This window comes from Homo sapiens, chromosome 11, assembly GCF_000001405.40.
Source record: "Homo sapiens chromosome 11, GRCh38.p14 Primary Assembly".
Lineage (NCBI taxonomy): Eukaryota > Metazoa > Chordata > Mammalia > Primates > Hominidae > Homo > Homo sapiens.
Window position 1 is genome coordinate 104,017,533 of NC_000011.10, and position 25,563 is coordinate 104,043,095.

The 25,563-nt window shown below is 37.2% G+C and overlaps 2 protein-coding genes across 3 annotated transcripts in view; one reads left to right on the top strand and one right to left on the bottom strand.

The window, feature by feature from the left end:
- Nucleotides 1–25,563, bottom strand: part of PDGFD (platelet derived growth factor D) — a 256,959-nt gene that overhangs the window by 110,344 nt on the left and 121,052 nt on the right. The gene's annotated exons all lie outside the window — the stretch shown is intronic.
- Nucleotides 19,108–21,664, top strand: DDI1 (DDI proteasomal shuttling factor 1). Its single transcript, NM_001001711.3, has one exon. It carries the CDS (start codon nucleotides 19,291–19,293, stop codon nucleotides 20,479–20,481), a length of 1,191 nt encoding a protein of 396 aa, NP_001001711.1. The 5' UTR covers nucleotides 19,108–19,290; the 3' UTR covers nucleotides 20,482–21,664.

Below are 25,563 nucleotides of genomic sequence, written 5' to 3' on the forward strand. Positions count from 1 at the left end.
CCAACATCCATCTCCATTACAGAAAATATGGTATTTCCAATTAGTAATCCTCATAAATTCCAATGCCTAAACACGAAACCGTTCAACAAATAATAACAGAGATGTAGGAGTCTTGATCTTTTCCTCTACCTGTGGGATTATTTGTGGGTGTGTGACATATGCCTTAAAAGACTCAGTCAAGGGACATTGCTTATGTCTTTATCTTACTACATATGCTAGGGTGCTAACTTTTGTGAGGGAGACCTAAAGCCTTGTATATGTATACACATTAGAGACTTGGAGAAAGTAAGTACGCGATGTTTAATTTTTAAGAGCACCATCGATAAGATCCTTGGCATCTGCTAGAGTGGCTGTTTTGTAAAGTACCATAACTGCCATTTATATCTCCAGAAAGATTTGAAAATCTACTACAGTGACTACTGTGGTTCTCACAAGACAGAGATTTTCAGATTAAAAAAATACAGTACCTTATGCTATGATAAATGGGAATGGAGGAAGGGAAAGAACATTCTTTGGGTCAAGCATTGTAACAGAAAATTTAACATGTGCCATTTTATTGATTCCACCTGTAAAACTCACCCTTTACATTGTCCCCCAATTGCACCCCACCCCCCTCCACACACACCCCATTTCCCAGACTAAAAGCTTCTGGAAAATAAAGACTGGGACTCATTCAGTGTTGTATCTGAATCTAATGAGAAGTAATAGGAGGATTTCAATTAATATTTATTGAACAAATGAATGAAACTCAATATTCTTGAGGCAAGATGCTTCTGTGCACTTACATATCAGTAAACAGAACTGAAGAAGTTAACATTTTTGGACTTGGAGTTCAGAATTAAATATGTTTGATTTTCCATCTGTATATCTCACTTCGTTAGATTTATGTCTTCTGTCTCCCTGGCCCTATCATGTCTGCCATTGTCCATTCGTTAACTGAGTGGGTTCATCTGCAGTTTCGAAGTCAGAATTCACAAACCCTGCAGTCGAACCCATGACATGTGATCTTGTTAGATTGCTTCTGTATAGGAAGATGTCTTTTGGGGAATCTGCCCAACTCATATATCCCCTTCTCTGTTAGTTGCAATCCAGGTGGTCCCCAGATGGCCCTTTTCTTCAGGGAGGAGCCCTGGCCAGCAAGGTTTGCACCAGTCACTGTGCTCCTGGCACTCATACATGTCCTTTTCTGCCTCCCTCTCATGCCCCAAGTGTGGTTTACCACTTCTTCATCTGTTAAGCATTTCTAACCCTGCCTCTCTTTCACAAACTGTTTTGATTCTTTTTCTCATTTAACATATTGTGTAGTATTAATGCTGTTGCGGATTTGTGCCTCTTTCCTTACTGGACTTTTTAGTTCTTTAGGGAAAGAGCTATGGCTCTGCTCCTTGATCCTTGTCTTCAGCCACAATGGCCTGGCATGTCCTCCTCGGCTCCAAGCACTTCCCTGCCTTGGGACCTCCTTAGAATGCAGAGGGTGTCCTCTGCAAAGAATGCTCACCCTCTATCTCCTCACCAGGAAAACTCTTCTTTTATTGGGCATCATTTCTATCATTGCAGACAACTCTTTTCCTTAAAAACACACACTCCACTTTGTATTATATGTGTGGATTTTATTGTTTCATATCTGGTTCTTCTAGCAAACAATGAGCTTTGAAAGGCTAAGGATTATATTTATCTTGTTCAATACTGTATGTCCAGCACCTAGCACAGAGTTGGCATAGAGTAAAGGCTCAATAAATGTTCGCTGAATAAATTCATCCTTGAATCTCAAATGTATAAAATGCATTCTTTGGGTCAAGCATTGTGACAGAAAATTTAATATGTGCCATTTTATTGGCACAAATGAGGCCCATTAATGTCTGAGAAATAAATTATTCAAGGATAATAAAAGAAAAAAACTATTCCTCTAGTCAACTAAATTCTGCCACATTATTACTTTTACACATTTAACCAAAAACTATTAACATATTTATTTAGCATGTATTATTTTGTGCAAAGTACAATGGCAGACACGATACGGCCAGGGAGACAAAAGACATAAATCTAACAAAGTGAGATATATAGCTGGAAAATCAAACATTTAATTCTGAGCGCCAACTCCAAAAATGTTAAGATTCTTTCTGAAATATTGTGTTGAAAAGTTCTCTGAGGCTGTAGATATGATCTGGGGGAAAGATTATCATGTATAATTATTAGTTTCTGTCCTGAGCATGGAAGGGAGATAAATGGCTGCACAAACGTTATATTTTCTGTGTCTATTATAGAAGGGCTGACATAAATGAACTTTTAAAAATAAAAATGTGTTTGGAGTGTTCCCTACTACTTTCTAGTTGTGTGTCTTCGGGAAAAAAATCACCTAATCTACATGTCACTTCCTTCATCTACAAAATAGTGATAACATTAACATCTCCATGGGGCTGCGATAAGCACCAAAAATAAAAAAATATGGAAATGTTTTACTAAATGTAAAACAGTCTACAAATGTCATTAAGCTAAACAGATGCACAGAAAAAATAACACCAATGAGTAAATAAACACCAAACAAATTTCTAGGCAGCAAACATTTTAGGAGTTCAAAAGATGGAGAGGCAGTTTCCTAGGCCGATTTATTGCTTCAGAGAGTAGAAGCAACATATGTAATAAAATGTAGAGATGGAGACATATACTTAATGCTGTATTTTAAATTTGGACTTCCTTGACACTATTTCTAGAAATGTTAGGCCCTGCAGCTATTTCATTAATTTTTTTTTCTAATAAGTTTGAGATGACTGTGACTGTGGACGTAATACTGAAAATATAAACTCCACAAAGTATGACCTGATTCTATCCATTTAATCTTTCCCAAAGCTATTACAAATGATTTATTGATAGGTTCTAAATGTAAGTAAAAAATGGAAGATATGTTTCAATCCCATAAGAATGAGATAATATGTATGACAAACCATATAAATATCAATAATAGCAATATATTTTTATTACATCACATATGCATTTTAAATAGGTAACTTGTACACATTAAGGGACATAATAAATGTTTTTAGAATATGATAGAAGAGGCAGTGGAAAACATACTTTTCTATTTAAGGCAATGACTATATTTTGGGAGTACTGGGCTTAGAAAACAGACATTTTATACTTCATTTTTCTTATGCATTTACATAATTGCCAAATTTCATATCTATCCTAATATTACATTATTCCCTGCATAGACCTATGCTACTGGTCAAGAATTCTGTTTGAATAGTTTCAAACAGAAAGGAACTATAATGCTAATATAAAAGTATCAAATTCATTATGTTTTAACTTCAGTTCTGAAAATGTGTATAATCTATAGTTAGTGAAAGAAACAAAATCTTGGATTAAGGAATACATTTTTCTAGACAAGCTCTTAGATAATGCTACTCAAAGTGCCTGTCTGCTGTATGAAGAATACCTTGGGCCAAGTTGAAAATCAAAACATACTGCTTCCTTCATTGACAATTTCTTGCTCCATAAAAACAATTTCAGCAAACTGAGTAATGTACCTGGGGTCATAATTAATCTACATTTGGTATAAGTGCTTTATCTTTTTGTGGATCAAAAGCAAAGGGTTCATGCAATGGTAGCTAGTCCATGGATCCCATCTGAGCTGCAGTGGTCTACGGAAAACTAGGAATGGATTGATTATCTTCAGAATGACCTACTGAATAACTAGTCTTATTAGTCAGAGAATTATTCTAGAGCTGCCTTACACAGCATTGTTTTGAGAGAGAAAAGAGGCCAATTTTAAGTGTATGATATGATAGATTGCATTATTGTTCGAGTTCTTCATCTTTCTATAGTTTCCACATTCTTTGTCATGTGACTTTGTAGTACTCCCTCTAATGTCAACCACTTTATTTTCCTGCCCCATTGATACTGAGGCTGGGAATGTGAATTGACTGAGACAACAGAATGCAGGCAGAAAGAAGTGTTGGGTACTAATTGTGATTCTAAGCCTTAGGAGTCATCCACTGTTTCTACTAGACCCGCTTATGCTTCTGCTGCTGCCATGAGAAGCACATGTATTGGGTAGCTTGTTATGCCAAAGATAAAAAACAAATAGAGCAGATCGATATCCAACCTGACTCTGGGAGCCAGCACCATCCAATCCTAGTGTAGGCCTGTCAAACTCGACTTGATCTCAAACACAAGAGAGAATAAATGATTTCTGTTTTAAGCCACTGAGTTTTGGGATGGTGGTTATACAGCTTATTATGCTGATAGCTAACCAATTCACATTAGAACAGCACCTTCCAAAGCTTGGGTGGAAGAGGGCTGCTGAGATGGATAGCATTGGTGGGGGAATACTAACACCTTGGGTACAGGCATAGAGGAAGGAGTATTAATGGCCAAGTTTATGAGTAGCACATTCAGGCAGGTGGTAAAAACCCATTAATTTCACAAGTACTAAGAATCCCATCAGGACTCTGATACAAGGAAACAACCATTCTTCCTTATTTTCTACCCCAGTTAATGTAGCAAAGGACAAAAAGAGAACATAAGCACAAAGACCAGTACTTCGTTAATGAAAGAAGAATGTTTCAAACTGGAATAGAGTAGAAATTTTAATTATTCACGAAAGAGTAGGGATTTTAACCTAATAATAGAATGCCAGCAGGCTAAAATATATTGGGATCTACTCTTCAGTTTGCTTTCTTAAAATAGTTATGATAAAGTAAAAGTAGAGTTTGTATTTCACACTGTGGACTCAATTGATCTACAATCCTTCGTGTTCTTCCTTCAAGTTCTAACATAATGCATTCCACTGGGATACTGTTCAAGATTAATAGTTGGACTCAACAGCCTTAAAGAGACAACTGCATTAATTTACGTAGACTCTGTGCATTGACTGGACAAATAGGACTTCTTATAGGATAATGCTTTTGTAATTATTGTTTGGAAGTATGACATTACAGTAACATATAAAACCTGCAGCACAAATAAAGAATAGATTTTACCCCCCTCCAATTTCCTAAGGTCAATTTCCAAAATACCTGACTGCAACCTATAGGGGAAAGGAAAAAAACTGACCTTACAATTTACAAAAATAAAAGTGATACAGTATTTTGTCTCAGTTTGTTTTTACTATGCTAAGCCAAAATTTAGTATATATATTTGAACCTTAACAAATATTTAGAAAATATTATATATGTATATCTCAATATATATACACACACTATAAACATATAATGTGTGTGTACATATATATGTGTATATTCATACAAAATTTAGTGTGTGTGTGTACATAGATATATATGTATATACACACACATAGACACACACACTCTAAGTTTATAGGCTATTTTTGCTGGTAAAGTTTCCTGAACACTATGTAGGTAGTAACTATAAAAAATATAAAATTTGTTTTTTTTCCTGAAAGGTTTATTGTTTGCACTTCTAGATAGTGAAAAATGAAAACTATGGAAACAATGACTGCCCAAGGAACAAAACATATACACAAACCTTTGATTTAGTAACCATAGCCAAACTCTGTGGTAGCTCACTTAATAAAGTGGTTACAGTCATTTTGGGGGGCTCCCCAGGGTGAAATGTTCCACTTTTTATAGCTTTGTATATAATTAAAAATCTGCTATAACTATGACCTTGAGTATCTCCTCAAAAAACATATAATTAAATAACCAGAATATCTAATAAATAACAGCTGCAAGGTAAGCAACAGAAAACGCCGTCTGAACAGTATTTTACTTACATCTTTCTGAACTACAAACTTCTTTGCTCTAATGCATTTCTAATAGAATGTCAGCCATCCTGGCTTTACAGGAGCTCTTGATATCACAAGCTTTAATGGCCCTTTTGCAATTAAGGTGAGGTATCTGCCATTTCACTCAATCCACCAAAGACAGGTTTATATAATCATTCCAGAAATGTTCCTTCCTACTGGGTAAGATTTAAGAAGTGCTGATTTTGAGTAGAAGAGAAAAAAAAAGATGTTTATTATTTATATCCATGGTTCTGGCTTTAGTATATAAAAGCGCACTATCGATCCATTCTTAGTAAATTGTACAATTTTTCATACTGTCCAGTGTTACTATCATGTAAACACAATCTACTGTTAAGAAATGTCACATAACTTTTTCATGAAACACATTATGTAGCCATAGAATAAAGATTAAGTAAACATGATCTGGAGATTTGCTCAGCATTTTTCTTCCAATGATGAACTATTATAGCTACCAACTATCAGATGGAATTTTACAGGTTGGCAAGAAGTCTATCACAGCTTATGCATTTACTGAAGAACTTCTTCTAGGACCAATTTCCCTGTTATACCTAAAAGTCTAATTCAGAGCAAAATGACCACAACATGTACTTGTATCATTCATTAGCCATATTTTAATATGCAAACATTGCTAATATAAGAAAAAAAGGTGGACAAACTTGGAACATACTGACTTGCATTAATATGATGCCAAGCATTTCCCCAACAGCTTTTCTTTAGGCAGCCTCTTATAAACTTAAACATATGCCATACATGTAACATTAACGAAAGCTCTCAGGAAAAAATGTCACATGACTGAAGAGGTGCTTTCCTTTGGGACTCTGGTAAATGAAAAGGTCTCATAAAATGTATAACTTGGCATTGAGTATCGAAAATAAGTTTTTATCTCGGGTTATAAATTAAGATAAAATAGGTAAATCAAAAGGATTAATATCTCCAAGTATAGGCTTTAAGGATACATTTGAATATGAAGGTACCATGCAAAAAAAAAGAGATCAGCTTTATTCATCAGTAATCATGCTGCTGTAGACATTCCACATGTAAAATAAATGGTCAGAGTACATGAATTTTCTTCAAGGAACCACAGTGAGTTGACTGAACTGCATATAAATAACTGATACTTAAGCTGGTGTATCTCTAATGTTTGCTAATACAATCACATAACACATAATGTTTCCCTCAATGACAAATTGTATGTAAGACAGTAGTCCCATAAGATCATAACATTGTATTTTTACTGTACTTAGGTTTAGATACACAATACAATTGTGTTTCAGTTACCTACAGTATTCAGTACAGTAACACGTTGTACAGGTTTGAAGCCTAGAAGCCAAGGGCTATACCATACAGCGTTGTAGGTTATGTAGGTTTGGCTAAGTCCACTCTATGATGTTCACACAATGATGAAATCACCTAAAGATGCATTTCTCAAAAGTATCCCTGTCATTAAGTGGTGCATGACTGTACTGTCAAAGCAATGAGATAGATACATAGGTCTCTGTCAAAAATGTGCATACAAATGACCTATTTGCACATGTAAGTGTCAAATCTGTATAATCTCTATTGAAGAATGGATCTCAAGAAGTTGTGGGAAGAATATGAAGCATGTCCTCCCAAGCTATATTGCTCAATTTAACTGAATATCATAAGTGATTGATACTTTAGAATAACCCCCAACTCAATGCTATGTGTATTTTTCAGGAGTCAACAGGATACCAACATTGAGATCCTTCTCTTAAATGTAAAGAAACTTTTGCACAGAACTAAAAGTGTCAAAGTGGAGACTCAAACCTTGGCACATCCAAAGCCCATGCCCTTAGGGCTTATGCCAAGCTGTCAGCCTATTACATTTTATTACATATTGTAATTACCAACTGCATAAAAGTTTGAGATCTATTGACAGGCACTTTGAAATCTGAATCAGCCAATTTAGAGCAACAGTTGAGAACACTGTTATAGGACATGCAGAATTAATAAAAGCTACACACCAAAATGGAACCTTGACCCAGGCATCAAGATTTTGACCAGATGGTATGGGGTGCAAATCCACTGTGTCTAGCTTTCCGTCAAATCTACATGAATTGTTTGACACTCTAGAAAAAATTACTTGAGAAAAACAAACACAACACAATGGATACAATGGATAAAATATAAAACCCTCCCACGCCTGCCAAATACAGTTCTGGTTTGTTTCTCCCCAGAAGGTGACATTGAGACAAGGATGTAGATACAGGCAGTCTTTATTTGAGAGGTCATCCCAGGAAGTACATGTGAGAAAGTGGATAAACTGAGACCAGAATAAGACCCCAGAGTTTCCCCTAGGGGTATGAAAGCCTCAGCATTTCCTCACTGAGGTGGCCTAAGCAAATCTCCCAAGGGCAGAGAAACTAAGACCCAAGGGCACTGGAAAGCGGAAGGTGTCAGCATTTGTAGGAACACAAACATGAGCACAGGGAGATGAGGCAGGGCAGCAACAGTGTCTGCTTCAAAAGAACAAGCATCACAGAACCACAGTGCTGTTTGCTCACTCACCTGCCTGTCTAAAGAACTGATGAGCTTCCAGCCTCTAGGAAGCAAAGGTAGCATCTTTCTAAACCTGCTGTCCTTATTTTGACCTTTTCTCTTGTGCACCCACATATCTGTTAGGCACCACATGGGCTCTCTACAAAGGCCCTCAGATGGTCTTTGTGTTTCTGCACTCTGTACTGGGACAGGAAGGGTGGAAGCTAGGGTAGGAAGGGCTGTGTTCCTGCCGCTCCTGCCATTGCTGCTGTTGATCCCAACTCTGCAGCCATGGCTGTAACACTATCTTCTCCTGACCTCCACCTGATGAATACTGTATCAGGAGAGGCTAGTCTCTGCCCATGAAAGTGCCCATATGTGTGTTTTCTCTTCATTCTTCTCAGACTATGCTTTCCTTGCCTTCCTATTTTGATCCTAATCCATGCCTTCTGGAAAGAAAGCCTGACCCTTGGCCATTCACTCAAAGCAACAGGGAATTAATTGTCTACTAATAGTTTCAGAAGTGAGGTTTTTGCACCTTAAGATCTATTGGTGAGTAGAAGAAAATACTGGACATTTAATTTGTATATTTATCAACTAACCCATTTATAATTTCCATCCATTTTATATCTTATGTTATACAATATGACATATAGTTTATAAATATACAAATATTGAGTGTGACCAAAAAACATTTTTTAAACCATGATGCACACCACTAAAAAAGTTTGAAGCACCTGCTTTGAGATAATTCACCTGTTATCCCATGACACAGATCAATGACCTCTGTCAAAATCCCATTTTAAAAAATTCCAGTTTTTAAAGGAACATTTGGATGCCTGCTATCATTTGTCTAGAGCAGTCCCCTAGGTTTGAAAACCTTATGGCCTCATGGTTACAATGTCCAGTCCAAATGACTCTGGGCATTCACTGTGAAATGTTTGATCTCCTTAACTCTGTAATTTGTTTTGGGGATTTGGTTTTTTAAAAAAACCTTTGAAGGAAGTGTCCTGTGGACTGAGACTCTTTCATTGTTCCATCCAACAAATAAACTTACCCAACAGTAATTCCAAATACTAACTTATTGGAAAGACCATACTTATATTCTTGATGTCAAGTTCAACAGTTTTGTTGCACACAAGGTAAGCCATATTAACCTGACTTAATATGCTACACTTTTTCACTATTAATTAGATGAACAGATTGTCTTTTCATTGTGTTGTGTCTGCTTAACAATTCTATAAGCACCTTATGAACAAAGACCTTGTCATCTACTTTCTTTAACCTCCAAGAACACTTTGCAGACTGCTATGGTTAAAAATGACATTCAAGAACATGATACAATCATATGCAATGAAAGGATGTATTTATTCAACCTTTGAAAGTTACTCCCTGGTGTTGAAACAGATTTGGTGATCAAGATTGTTATGAACATTCTGCGGCATCCTGGAATGAATGCAAGGTTGAAGGCAGCTGTGACAGTTCTGACAGCACCTGGTTCTAGTCAATAAGGAGTTAAAAATTAATCTACATGTGTTATTTAGCATTTATAAATTCCATCCTCTTGTCTGACTTTTCCAGGTTATTAATTATTGTTTTCACTCCTACGAGGAAAAAATGACATACTTTGGTAGAGTGCTTTTCTATTTACAAGACAAATTCAAATTATCCGTTAAGTCCACACCAAAATCCTATGGAAAAGAGATTATTGTCATCATCCCCATTTTACATAAGAGGATAATGAGGCTCGGATAAATTAATGCTTTGTCCAAGGACATTCAGATAAAAAGTGACAAATCCAGGGCACTTAAGCTCTACTTTTGTTACTTCAAAGCCACAACAGGCTTTCTACGTCACTGACCTGCATCTTATCCAGTTCTTGTGTGTGTTTATGTGACTATTTTTCCAGAACTGCAGATATAGAATACTGTCCTTTTATAAAAAAATAGAATAACATACATTGATTAAATTTTGATAGTTTTTTGCAGATGCCTGTATTTTGTTGACTCTTTTTGGTCACAAGGGCAGATTGAATTGATATTTTCAAAGAACAGATCTCCTGGCCTTCTTGGTAAGAAGTTATAGCTTAGAGCCTATTAGATTAAAAAGCATAGGCCGGGCGCGGTGGCTCACGCTTGTAATCTCAGCACTTTGGGAGAACGAGGCAGGAGGATCAAGAGGTCAGGAGATCGAGACCATCCTGGCTAACACAGTGAAACTCCGTCTCTACTAAAAATACAAAAAATTAGCCGGGCATGGTGACAGGCGCCTGTAGTCCCAGCTACTCTGGAGACTGAGGCAGGAGAATGGCGTGAACCTGGGAGGCGGAGCTTGTAGTGAGCCGAGACCGTACCACTGCACTCCAGCCTGGGCAACAGAGCGAGACTCCGTCAAAGAAAAAAAAAAAAAAAAAAAGCATAGCATGGATTCCTTTTTCTTAGGAAGGCAACTTGTATTTAGGATAATCCTAGTTATTTTAGTTTAAAAAATCCAATATCATAAAGGGGTGATCTTACCTAACACTAATACAGAGAAGGTACAGACCTGAGGCTAACTGCTAGATAAATTTGCTATATCCATCCCTACGAACACAAATTATGGCTCTTAGTTGAATTTGTCCTCTTTTCTGTTTTTGTTTTTGCTTTTTTTTTTTTCAGGCTGGCTTGCTGCATATTGAGGAGCTGATGATCCTGTTTGCTTTAAATTTTCTATGAAGAAATGGTCTCAGAGCCCAATTTTAATATCAGAAACGTCAACTACAGTGGGGCTTCATTTTTTTATGTCAGTTGAATGCCAGTATATTTCATTTGTGTAAACAGTAATTTACAAGTTATCCTTGGAACACTGGGTTTCTTGTCTCTTAACCACTGGCATGAAGGGGCCACCACAACCCTGCATTCTAGATAAAAAAACACTGCAGTAAGAACATGAAATAAAACCAAGTCTTTGTTCACAGTTAATAGTGTTTTAAGTTGTTTTGAAGTAAAAAAAAAATGCAGAAAAATAAAAGACAAAAACAGTTTTTTTAGAGTTGCCTGAGAGATTTCAGTTCTATTTCATTTAAAGTTTGTAAAGGAAAAAAAAATCAATGATACTATCTTCTTTCTCTTCAGCATCATAAATTGGTTCCCTGATTTTGAAAGTTAGAGTACGTAGTTACTCTGATTAGTTCCTGTCCTCTGGAGGCCTCCAACGACTTCTGTGAATAAGCAGCACTGAAATATTTTATCAATACATAAGTAAACAAGAGCATATCAGCAGTTAAGCACATTTTATGAGCTGAGTGAGATAGAATATTCATAAGTGTAATGGAACAGAGCATGAGCATGGGAGTGCCACATCTTTCAGAATAGAGAGACAACCTGCAGAGACATTAATGTTCCCAAACCATTTAAAAAATAAAATAGAATATGCTATGGACTAGATACCATTGGGATGGTGTAAGAAGGAATTCTTCTATACAGGCTGCTAAATTTAATTTTTCTGAGAAAAATAGGTGAGTTGATTTATCTTTTATTTGTTATTTTTAAAAGTGAAGCTTTTGTTGATCAGTCTTTGTTTTTCATTTTCATGGCTGGAATACAATTAAATTCTATAGACAGATGGGCTTTAGCCATGCTAATTACTATGGTAATCAATTAACTCAGCTGCTGTTTAGAATAGAGAAAGCTACATAAACAACAATCTGAAGTTTTGTCTTTTATAAGACAGTTGTGGAAACATTACCTATCATGTACATAATTCATAAAATATCTAAATGACCATGTTGTTATGGTACATTTTTTAAAATTTCTTTGGAATCTCTCAATATACTCTGTCCTATTTGGAAGCTAACAAATTTCATTCTACAAAGACTGACCCAAAATGTCACCATAAATGAAGTGATGTGCCATATAAATACCTGTTGAGGTGTCTTGGCCAGTGGCTAGATCTTTCCTGTTTGGGTGGACTGCATGCTATTACTCTGTACACTAAGGTTAAGAGTCTCATGTCACAGAGGTGAGTGTATGTGGATAACATGAAAAGTGGTCATTTTGAGAATTTTTATTGTATGATAGATAAGTGTTTAGTACCATCAACAAATTCATAAACTATGATATCCACTAATTACAGGCCGAACATCCCTAAACCATAAATCTGACGTCCAAAAAGCTCAAAAATCTTAAACGTTTTGAGCTCCAACATGATGACACAAGTGGAAAATTCCACACCTGACCTCACGAGACGGGTCTTAGTCAAAATGTAAGTTAAAACTTTGTTTTATGCACAAAATTATCGTATAAAATTACCTTCAGTCTATGTGAATAAGGTGCATTTGTAACATACATACATTTCGTGTTTATACTTAGGTCCCATTTTAAAGACATCTCATTATGTATAAGCGAATATTCCAAAACTTCAAAAAACTCTGAAATTTCAAACATTTCTGGTCTCATGCATTTCAGATAAGGGAAACTCAACCTGTATATACATTCACATTAAACCACCCATAAATAATTTTGGAGATCCCTGACGCAGACAACATCCACCTAGTTTCCAATAAAATATCTTAATAGGCTGGAGAATAATAAAGGCCAGGCTGAAGGGCAATGAAATGCCAAAGTCTTGAAGAAATCTTCACGAACTCTAAAGCAGATGAAGGTGAATTGAGAAGAAGGCCACTCAGATTTCAACTCAGGGCACTGCACAGGCTTGTCCTCATGAAATAAAGACTACCTCTTCACTACCAAAAAGAAACACAGCATTCGTTATTTTTTGTCAGTGTGAAGAAATGTTAGGATGGGACAACCACTTTTTGAGAAGCTCAGACTACTATTCCTTTCCTATACCAATCCTACCATCTTAATGCATCCATTTGGTTATAGATCCACCAGGAAAAAATATGAACAGAAAAATGTACATTCATGTGAAGAGAAAGAGGTCAAGCAAGTGGTATGATACATCAAGGAAAGGATAGCTCTTTGGAACCCAGACAGGTACACTATAATCATGGTTAAATTTACCAAATCATTCTTCCAGGCCCACTTCAGTGACACTTCCTCTAGTGAGTATTCTGGACAGTCCCATTCACTCCCTGCACCCCACCTTATCCCAAACAAATAACCTCTACCTCCTCCTCTAAGCAACCACAACATTTTATTTACACATTTCTCATAACTCATTAATTTATATTACATCTTATATGAAAATTAACTCATGATGGATTAAAGCCTTAAATGTAATACGCAAAACGATCAAAACCCTAGAAGAAAATCTAGGCAATACTATTTGGGACATGGGCATGGACAAATATTTTATGATGAAATCTCCAAAAGCAATTGCAACAAAAGCAAAAATTGGCAAATGGGATCTAATTAAGCTAAAGAGCTTCTGCACAGAAAAATAAACTATCAACAGAGTGAATAGACAACCTATAGAATGGGAGAGAAATTGTGCAGTCTAAACATCTGACAAAGGTCTAATATCCAGGATCTAAAAGGAACTTAAACACCTTTACAAGAAAAAACAAACAACCCCATTAAAAAGTGGGCAAAGGACATGAACAGACACTTCTCAAAAGAAGATATGCATGCGACCAAAAAACATATTTAAAAAAGCTCAAGCATCACTGATCATTAAAGAAATGCAACACAAAACCATAATGAGATACAATCTAATACCAGTCAGAATGGTGATTTTTGAAAAGTCAAGGAAACAACAGATGCTGGTGAGGTTGTTGAGAAATAGGAATGCTTTTACACTGTTGGTGGGACTTTAAATTAGTTCAACCATTGTGGAAGGCAATGTGGCGATTCCTCAAGGATCCAGAACCAGAAATACCATTTGACCCAGAAATCTCATTACTAAGTATATGCCCCAAGAAATGTAAATCATTCTATTATAAAGATATATGCACATGTATGTTCATTGCAGCACTATTCACAATAACAAAGACATGGAGTCAACCCAAATGCCCAACAATGATAGACTGGATAAAGGAAATGTGGTACATATACATCATGAAATACTATGCAGCCATAAAAAAGAATGAGATCATGTCCTTTGCAGGGACATGGATGAATATGGAAGCCATTATCCTCAGCAAACTCATACAGGAACAGAAAGCCAAACGTCTCATGTTCTCATTTATAAGTGGGAGCTGAACAATGAGAACACATGGACACAGGGAGGGAAACAACACTCACTGGGGTCTGTCGGGAGAGGGCAAGGGCAGGGGAGAGCATGAGGAAAAATAGTTAATGCATGCTGGGCTTAATACCTAGGTGATGTGTTGATAGGTGATGCAAACCACCATGGCACATGTTTACCCATGAAACAAACCTGCACATCCTGCACATGTACCCTAGAACTTAAAATAAATTAAAAAGAAATAAACACAGATATATACAACAACAACAACAAAAATAATGAATAAATAAATAAATAAATAACTATCCAAAGAAATACATGTTATTTGCTCATGACTGTTCTGGCACAATTTATTGTATTACTGTAAAGCAAATAAAAGAATTATGAAAACATTAGTTATTTAACCTAAGGGTACAGCTTTTAAAATTCTGCATCTTTTCTAAATTGCACTGAAAATCTCAAGTTATGATTTAACTCTCTTAATAAGTCTTGATTACACGTTAAAGGTAATACAAGCACATACTTAAAGGAAGAAATCCCAATGTAGCAAGCAAATGTATTTATTTAACATAGTTTAATTACTGTATATGTTACATAGTGACATTTATGTAGGTATTCTATTTTTTTTCACTAAAAAGACAATTATTTTGCTTAGTACAGCAAGAGATAGTAGTTTAAACATCAACTGACTATCATAACTGAAACCATCAGTTATGTGGATTTTTTTCTTTTTTTTTTTTGCTACATTTTTAGAAAGAGGCAAATTACAAAAGGTATTGTGGATTTATTAAAAAAATAACTTTGGGGTTATTTACTTGGTTAGTATGAAATCAGTACCATCTCTTCTGTTTTCTGGGCATTTAGGCCATACAATTAGAATTGATTTCTGAGTGATAGCCTGGAGACTCTGCAGGAATCTCACTTATCAAAAAAAATTTAATTATATTCTTATATTGTACTTACTAAGGGAGAAAAGTAAGGGAGTATACTTCACAAAGAATTCCTCAAGAAAAGTTTTGATAACCTCAGTTACTTAGATTTACATACCTCAATAATTCAGATAACCCATTTCTCAACAGACTACATGATAGGGATTTACGGTATAACAACAGTTTATGTTTAGGGGTGTGTGTGTGTGTGTGTGTGTGTGTAATATATTTTATATATATATATATTTCCAATTACCTCCAAGTTCATTATACAGTCAGAAGAGGTTTTCATTTAAAATTCTGAGTTGGGACAATTATACATATGGTATTTGAATCACAAATCATGCTGGGTAAAATGAAAGAATCAAATGATGTATACACAGAAGTACTAAACACAGGAGGCTGTGTTTACCTTTACAGATTCCAGGCTGTTTTGCAACAGATATAAGGGGTGGATGGGTGGCTGGACTATGGAATCCAAGGGATCCCTGCCAACCCTGACATCCTGTGACCAATGAAATGATGACAGCTCATTGGCCAGACCTTGAGGCTTTTTGCTTTCCAGTGTCTGTTCTCAGTAAAAGGTAAAATGCTGAAAAACAAATAAATGTAAAGTGCCACCCAAAGTAAAAAAATTACAGTGAGATAATAAAACACATCACATAGAATTTAAATATGTTCAGTATGAAGGCAATGGTATAGAAAAAAAGATGTTAGTTTCTTTTCATGTGAACTCACAATTTTTGCTTTATGAAAAACAAAAGGAAGCTTATTCTACAAAAATAATTTCATTTGCTATTAAAAAAAACAAAAGCCCCAGTATAATCCTCCTCGCTATGGTTTTAAGAACAAATTGTACAAAGCTATTTGGGGAAAAAAGATAAAGGAAAACTGAATTAAAGTCTTACTGGTTTCTCAATCTGTTCTTTAGCAGAGTAGTTTGCATGTGACATCTCACATGATAATTGTTTCCAAACTCAGGGGAAAGCACTAGTAATCTCTGATAAACTTGTCAGGGTGCAAAGAACCATAACATAATATTATTGAGTCAAAGGGTCATTCATTCATCTGTAAAAATGGTGAAAATTACAATGCTAGATTTTTTTTCTTAAAATTAAAAAATAATCCTTATATGATGAAACACTGTCTTTCCAGTTGAAAGCTCTAAGTCAGGTCATCTTCCTTCTCACCTTTGTGTCTCCACTCTGGCGCACCCTGCATGGCTGACTCCTTGTCATCTTTCTAAACCCAGTTCTTTCAGGATGTCTTCTCTCCCCAACATCCCTCACCATCTTCTTCATCTCTTCTTCAGATATTATTAATTTCTCCTGAATACCACTACTGTGGTATTTTTTACCCTTCAATTTGTGTGTGTGCATGTGCTCTAATTTAGACTGTGAGCTCCTTTAAGAATACAGCCTATATTTAACATTATTCACGTCTGTTTCCCTAGAACTTAGCACATGCTTCACATACACTGGGCGTTCAGTCAACATTTCTAATATAAGCAAATATGAGTATAGAAACATTATGATAATTAGAGCAGTGAGCGAGACATAGTCTTCCATCTGAGACAAATACATGAGAAACAGGAGCCAAAAAATAATTATTTAGGCTGATGTGACTTCCTTCTCTCCATAATGGAATAATGGTGTAACAGTGCAGGCCTTCTAACAACCCTTCAAAGAAGGGGGTGAAACTAGGCAGAGGATATCGACTATCTTGGTTCATAAGTAGGTACACCTGGGAGTACCAAGCCAGGGAAACATGAGCTCTGCACAGTGCAAAACACTTTTTTTTTTTTTTTGAGATGGAGTCTCGCTCTGTCACCCAGGCTGGAGTGCACTGGCGCAATCTCGGCTTACTGCAAGCTCCACCTCCAAGGTTCATGCCATTCTCCTGCCTCAGCCTCCCGAGTAGCTGGGACTACAGGCGCCCACCACAACGCCTGGCTAATTTTTTGTATTTTTAGTAGAGACAGGGTTTCACCATGTTAGCCAGGATGGTCTCGATCTCCTGACCTCTTGATCCGCCCACCCTGGCCTCCCAAACTGCTGGGATTACAGGCATGAGCCACCGCGCCAGGCAGCAAAACACTTTATTAAACATAGAGAAAAATAACTGGCATGCAAGGATTTCTACCCAATCATCATTTGCCTTGAAGGACTTTTCACCATGACAGCCTTGTATGTGTGTGTGTGTAAGTGGGGGTGGGGGAGAGTAGGGAGAAGGTGGCTGTGCCCAAATGTCAGAGAGAGGCATATTGGCCTCTAGGGTGGCATCCTTAATGAATTTTCCTACAGAACTGATGTCAAATGGGTCACCTCAAAGGTTCATCTCACTCATTCATTCATTCCCCTTCAAGGCAATGGCCCATCTACCCTATATCCCATTTTAGAGACCCTCTGTGTTATCCACACATTCCACTTTTTTACACTCCCCACCTCCAAGGGGTATGCACACTCTGTCCATTTTACTCAAGAAACATGTTTATTCTCTACTGCTTTGGCTTTGGGCCTCCTGACTTTCCACACTCTAGCAACAGCTCCCTCTTTGAACCACTGGAAAAGCCTCCTGACTGGCCCTCCTGCCACATTATGTCCTCCATGTGTTGCAAGAAGCCTCTTCCTTAAGTCAATTTAAAAAAAAAAATCACAAACACCTGCTTCAAATCTTTTCCCTTTCCTTTCCTTCCTTACTTCTTTTTCTTTTTTTTTTTTTTTTTTTTTGGAGGAGGAATTCTTGCTAATTGATAATATTTAATATTTAAACTCCGTAGATTCACATATGACTTCATCAATTGGCTCAACTAATTTTTTTCCAGCTTCATATCCTGGTATTCAAAGTCATGTACAATTTTTTTATTGCACAAAATGTCTCATCTTTCTCTAGAAATAACAGCCCTTGCCATAAATTCCTGCTTTTGTAACATGAAACTGCTTTCCTTTGGAGTGAGACCACTTTGCACCTGGAAGATGCTCATCCTTCAACATCCAGCTTGTCTCCTCCTTAGGAAAATATCCTCTGTTCTGTTGGTGATACTAAAGGCAGTACCCTGAACATGTCTTTGTAAAAGATTTTGCCTTTAGTATTGTGATTACCCATTCACCTGTCTATCCCTTTCCAGAAATGTGAGCTCCTCAAGGGCAGGCTCCAAATCTGACTTTCCTACTATGCACATAGAATGGTACTTGCCATGTAAGAAACAAATCCTTACTGTTTGGGGAAAAAACAAAAGTACAAAGAATACAACTCTAAAATGAACAAAACAAATGATAATATGCTGTTTAGAAAGTGTTGAAAAACTAGGCATGGTGGCTCACACCTGTAATTCCAGCACTTTGGGAGGCCGAAGTGTGGGGGATTGCTTGAGCCCAGGAGTTGGAGGCCAGCCCGGACAACACAGTGAGACCCCAAATCTATTAAAAAAAAATACAACAATTAGCCGGGCATGGTAGACTGTGCCTGTAGTTCCAGCTTTTCAGGAGGCTGAGAGAGGAGGACTGCTTGAGCCTACGAGGTCGAGGCTACAGTGAGCTGTGATTATGCCACTGTACTCCAGCCTGGGTGACAGGATAAGATCCTGTCTCAAAAAAAAATGTGTTGAAATCATTTCTTTCATATCATGTGTTAAATAGGCTTTGAAGGGCTGGCCTTGAAACCTGACAGCTTTGAGCCATCGTGTATCCATGGGAGTAGGCATTCTAGGTTCCAAACAGCACACTTAGAAATGGACTTTGGAACACAACGTGCTACCTCAAGGCTCCACCTGGCCACACAGCAGGCACTGAGGCTGGGAGACAGCCCCCAGACAGATGAGTGTCCGCGCCTCTCTGAGAGGTGAATGAGCCCGGACGGTCCCTACCTACCAAGTCCTGAGGAGCAGCGGCACCAACGACGCAGGCCCGCCCCAGCCCGCCAGTGAGCCGCCCATGCCCTCTGCTAGCCCGGCCCGCCCGGGCCCCCGCCATGCTGATCACCGTGTACTGCGTGCGGAGGGACCTCTCCGAGGTCACCTTCTCTCTCCAGGTCAGCCCCGACTTTGAGCTCCGAAACTTCAAGGTCCTCTGCGAAGCGGAGTCCAGAGTCCCCGTCGAAGAGATCCAGATCATCCACATGGAGCGACTCCTCATCGAGGACCACTGTTCCCTGGGCTCCTACGGCCTCAAAGATGGCGATATCGTGGTTTTACTGCAGAAGGACAATGTGGGACCTCGGGCTCCAGGGCGTGCCCCGAACCAGCCTCGTGTAGACTTCAGTGGCATTGCGGTGCCTGGGACGTCCAGCTCCCGTCCACAGCACCCTGGACAGCAGCAGCAGCGCACACCCGCTGCCCAGCGGTCACAGGGCTTGGCGTCAGGAGAGAAGGTGGCCGGCCTGCAAGGTCTGGGCAGCCCCGCCCTGATCCGCAGCATGCTGCTCTCCAACCCCCACGATCTGTCCCTGCTCAAGGAACGCAACCCTCCCTTGGCGGAAGCCCTGCTCAGCGGAAGCCTTGAGACCTTTTCTCAGGTGCTGATGGAGCAGCAAAGGGAAAAGGCCTTGAGAGAGCAAGAGAGGCTTCGTCTCTACACAGCCGACCCACTGGATCGGGAAGCTCAGGCCAAAATAGAAGAGGAAATCCGGCAGCAAAACATTGAAGAAAACATGAATATAGCGATAGAAGAGGCCCCCGAGAGTTTTGGACAAGTGACGATGCTCTACATTAACTGCAAAGTGAATGGGCATCCTTTGAAGGCTTTTGTTGACTCGGGCGCCCAGATGACCATTATGAGCCAGGCTTGTGCCGAGCGATGTAACATCATGAGGCTGGTGGACCGACGGTGGGCTGGGGTTGCTAAAGGAGTGGGCACACAGAGAATTATTGGCCGTGTTCATCTAGCTCAGATTCAAATTGAAGGTGATTTCTTACAGTGCTCTTTCTCCATACTTGAGGATCAACCCATGGATATGCTTCTAGGCCTAGATATGCTCCGGAGACATCAATGTTCCATCGATTTGAAGAAAAATGTGCTGGTCATCGGCACCACTGGCACGCAGACTTATTTTCTTCCTGAGGGAGAGTTGCCCTTATGCTCTAGGATGGTAAGTGGGCAAGATGAGTCTTCGGACAAGGAAATTACACATTCAGTCATGGATTCAGGACGAAAAGAGCATTAAAGCACGTTATAAATATGTTACCACCTTGAGGGAGCCTCAGGTCCCCGGCAATTATAAGTTAAGAGCTTACTGGCAATGTAATCATTAAAAAACATCAGTAACAACTAAACCTGGCCTTGGGACTACGTTCTCAGATGGGTAACTAACGTCAATCCTGATTCCTTGGTCTTGGTCCCTCTTCCATTTCCCTTGTCCAGAGATCACTGAAAGGCATCCTGGGAAGGCTCTGGAGGCTCCAGCTGATTTCCAGATAATCCATGAAAAAGAAAACCAGCTTCTTCCTTTAGAGACACTATCCTATCAGATTACAGGTGGCTTATCCAAATCATTGCTATTTTGCAGAATTCCCTGGAAAAATGCTATGGCTGCAGACCTTACAAGGCATCCACATAAAACTATTTCACATCAGCACTAATAATTCTTTCTACTGAGAGAAATATGCCCATTTTCACAGGTTTTGTTTTCTTTGGGAAGGGTATTAGAAATGGTAGGTCAGTTACACTATGATGTTAACTAATACTTATACATGTCTGTTTGGGGCAGCATAAAGACCAATTTCCTCATATTTACACCTTCCCTTCCCCTGGATCCCCTGCAGTCACCCTGCAATCCACAGCTAAAGACTATTTTTGCCATATTTGAGAAAGTGGATTTATCTCCAAGGATGCTACATTAATTTTCTATTTCTCCTGCATTCAAAGAAACTCTGGCTATAAAACAAAGGCAATAAATTAGATTTTTTAAAAAAGAAATTATGGTACTTCTTGGGAGTCAAGTTGTACAGTGGTGGGAATGAGAGGTGGGGACAGGCAGTGGTCCAGGTTCTCTAATAGTCATTGCAACTAGATCATCTCTCTCTCTTTTTCAAAGTAAAAATCTGCTTTATACATTAAGCTGCTGCTACATCAGTATTGTTTGAACAAAGGTTTTCACTGTTAAAATAACATTTGAAAACTTTTGAATGAGAAGATCTCTAAGGCCTCATTCAGAATTATCCATTCTGACAATGTTAGTGTTTATTACAACTGACAGTGGGTAATGGAAGATCCTAGACTTAATTACAACCCATGGCTAAAGCACCTGAGAGAAAAGTTTCAGCTTCCTGAGGCCATCAGATGCAGGGGAAATGTTTCAGGACAATAATTTATCAAAACTAGTATTAAAACAGCGGATTCAAAATCAAGATGTGTATGTTTTGATTACACTTAATTACTTAGACAAATTAGTTCACCTACTTTACAACTGAGATTCCTCACCTAATAATTTTTTTTTTCCTGGGAGGGGTCACTTTTCAAGCACTAAAACCTCATTATCTTAAAGGATCTGGGATATCCTTTAAGTTATTCTATTTTCCCGACAAGATATAAAGCCACATAAAGCATTCCCAAAGGATACAGAAAAAAATAACTCTCCCTTATAATCTCCATATACTTTTTGTTTTGCTTCTTGGTAATACTAATCAACCTTTCTAAAGAGAGTCACCTCTTCCTTTCTAGCCACCATCAGTTCACCTCCCATTTTTCTTCTCTATAGGTGTTCCCATGCTCACATTTCCCAGTCTGGTCTACATTTGCACAAAGTTTTATACCCAGTAGAACTACTAAAAATGATCAAATGAACAGATTTCTTTCCTACTTTTGTTTGTAATTAAGAACTCAAAACAAATGCAATTAACAAAAAAAGACATTCAGAGTAAAGTCAGGGATAAGCAAAATGCTTATGAATAAATTTAAATTGCCCTGATAAATTCATGGATTATCTCACTGACAAAAATATGCAAAGTCCTCAGCATCTTCTGAATTCAATTTTAAGGTTCATTTATGAAAAAAAGGTCTTATTTGCATATATCACATGGGACTCCTCAGGGTGTCTGACCCTTTAAAGTTAGCCACAGAATTTTTAAGATAAAAGACAGTTCACATGATACCAAATCTGACCATACCCACCCTACCTTCTCAGAGGAACACCCCTTCTGAGGTAGCTATAATGTTTTGAGACAAATCTCAGGTATAATTATTTGTTTCTTATTTTGAGCTGAAATCTACTGTCCCATAACTTCCAGTAAGTTGGTCTTCATTCTTCCTTCTGCCAAGACCACATTTAATCTTTCTGGCATGAGATAAACTTTTTAATATATGAAATGAGTATCAGCCCACATATTCATTTTTAGACTTCAGTAGGTTTTCACCAGATTCTTTAACTGTTCCTCATAGGACAAATTTGGATTCTCCTAAAAATTTCACGTTTCTTTGGCCATATTCCAAATCCTAAAAACATGATTTGAGTGAATGAATGAATAAATTAAAATCATCTATACTGAATTGAAAAGCAATGACTTCAAAGAAAAATCATTAAACAAAATGAATTAATTAAGCAATGCCTTTATTGATTAACTTTTAAAAATCGTCTTTCAAATTGAAAAGTGTTTGAAAAGTTAGTTTCATTAATGTCTTCATGTAATTCTGTGTATACTTAAAAAGGTCCTAATCAATTAAATTTTAAATGGATTAGTTTTGGTAAAAGGCTACATCTTTTGCTTGTCTTCTACATCAATCAGGCACTATGCAAGGTACTTTGCATATTACTGCCCTTAATCCTCAGGATAAACTTAAAAATAATTATTTTTAAGCCCATTTTGCAGATGGAAAATTTGAGGCTCAGAATTATTAGAAACATTCAAATATTCAAAGTTCAGTGATTTTAAATTTTTTTTGACAACAAACTACATTTTACATTGTGACCCAATTTTACACACTATACACACACAAACACAGATATGTATTTCTATCTCTCTATACATCATTATATAACTGAAACAAAAAGGATTCTTGAAATGAAATAATAGGATATGTTTTATCATTTCTTAGTCTTACTTTTTAAAATTATATTTTATGTATCCCACCAAGATATTCTGAAACACAATTTACAAAACATGGACTGACCAGATTGCTCTATTCAGAGCTTTTTGATTTCAAATGCCAAGTTCCTTTGCAACTTCTTTATCTGACATATTTTAATGCTAGGTCAAAAACTGCAAAATTCTTACAAAATTTTATTATGTGGAAACTACCAAAATTATGCCAGTAGAAATGACAACAGAGTAGGCAGGACTCAGAATATATACAACAATTATTTATTGAATGCACATTAAATAAGCTCCCAGACAGATTTTTATACATAGAGAAATGAGTAGGTTATAGTTTCAGACCTCAAGGTGATTAGTACCTTGTGGGGGTAGAAGACAGACTTGTAACCAACTAAGAGCAAAAGGAATGGACATGAAATTAATAATATGTTGGTACAAAAGAATACATTTTGTAATGGGGATTATTTTTAAAATAAGAAGCAAGCCAGTAAATGTACTTTTAATGTGTCTAAAATGTTCATCACTGATGCTGCAACAAAAATCCTCCTCTTAAATTTCAGGTTACTAATATACAACTTATAAATATCTACTTTTGGAAATTTACTACGTGAAAATGGATAAACAAATTATCATTTTCTGTTTTTTTTTCCTACTAAAAATGAGGATAAAGTAGGCCACATGATGAAATAGACCTTTCCTGTCTCAGGCCATTTAAAAAATCCTTGGCTTCACTTAATGCTCACTTAAATAACCATCTTACCTACAAGAAAATCACTAGTGTGATAGCCATGTATTTCAAGATTACCAGCAACAGATTCTGCTGCAGTTAAACCAGAAGATGGATGTTGTTTGAGATAAGCAGAACATATAATCTTAACCTCTTTCTTAAAATATTGGGTCATAAAAATTTTCTTGTTTCTAGGGGGAAATCTGTTCTGCAAAAAGAAAAAGATAAATCGATGTTTGCAGGTATAAATTCATCTTCACTGCAGGTATTAACTGTTGTAATTTTAGTTAAGAGAACATTGTGCTTCTTTCAGAATGCCAGTTATAAAAGGGCCATTTTCTGACATCCAAGATTCCATAAGCACTTAAGTGATGAGAGTGATCTGGGATTCTCACTAGGAAATTGTATGCAATTATATTAATCAGTGCCAACATTCCTAGTTATTCTTTGAACTTGCAAAAGCCTGGAAAACAAAGAAGAGGAGCAAACATAAAGATGGGTAGAGAAAGAAGGAAAACAAACAAAACAATGCAAGTCTGGGTTGATTTTAACTGATTCTGTCTTAGGTACCGATTTATATGGTGGGAACTGGGCTATGATTATAGACTAGCTACCATTCCACAATTTTTATCACTGGCAAATTATCTAAAAATAAAAATATTTTCAAGGTAAAGCCACAATTAAACTTGCTTTTGAATCCCAGCTTCTTTCCACACCTGGGTCCATCTGTTAGAATCTTTGAATTTCTAAGGATCTGTTATCAGAAAAAAATGGAGCTTGCAGTCTTGCTGTGCTTTCTGTGCCTTCCTCAGAGTGCCCAGTTAACAGGCTGTTGAGATGGGTGTACCTGGAGTGGCTTTGTCTCTTACTACAGCAATGAATGTTTTCTGATTGCTTTTTCTTATTGAGAAAGACTTTTATAAATCCAGTTTTTCTATATTTCAAATAAGTAAGGATCATTTTTAGAGCATCACTATACAAATTACCAGATAATTTCCTCTTATGTTAAAGTCCCTAGGAGGCAATGTGGGCTATGCTTCACGCAGGGGTATTTTTTATGGGTATATTTTTCTACCGTTAATCAATGTATTGATGCCTTGTCCAAATAAAGCAGACAATTACCAAATAAGCATATTCCAGGTAAGCAACTACTTAAATCCATTAAATTCTTACCCTACACCATCAATCACCATTTTGAAACCTTACTTTATCAGGGCTTTACTATAAAGATCCGTTAAGATGCAGAGGAAAATTAATTTAAAATTACATTAATTCACATATTCTGCCTTTCAAACTTCTGTCATGTCTAAGGATTCAATTAGTCTATCAGTCAAAAAGTATTAGTGTTTTGCATTCATACATGTCACTAAAAATTTAATGTATTTTTTCAAAAGTTATGTCATTGGCCAATATCATGCAGAGAGATGAAGAAATTTAAATTATAGCATTAACCTTTAAAGAACTTAAAAGTTCAGTTAGAGGAACTAGA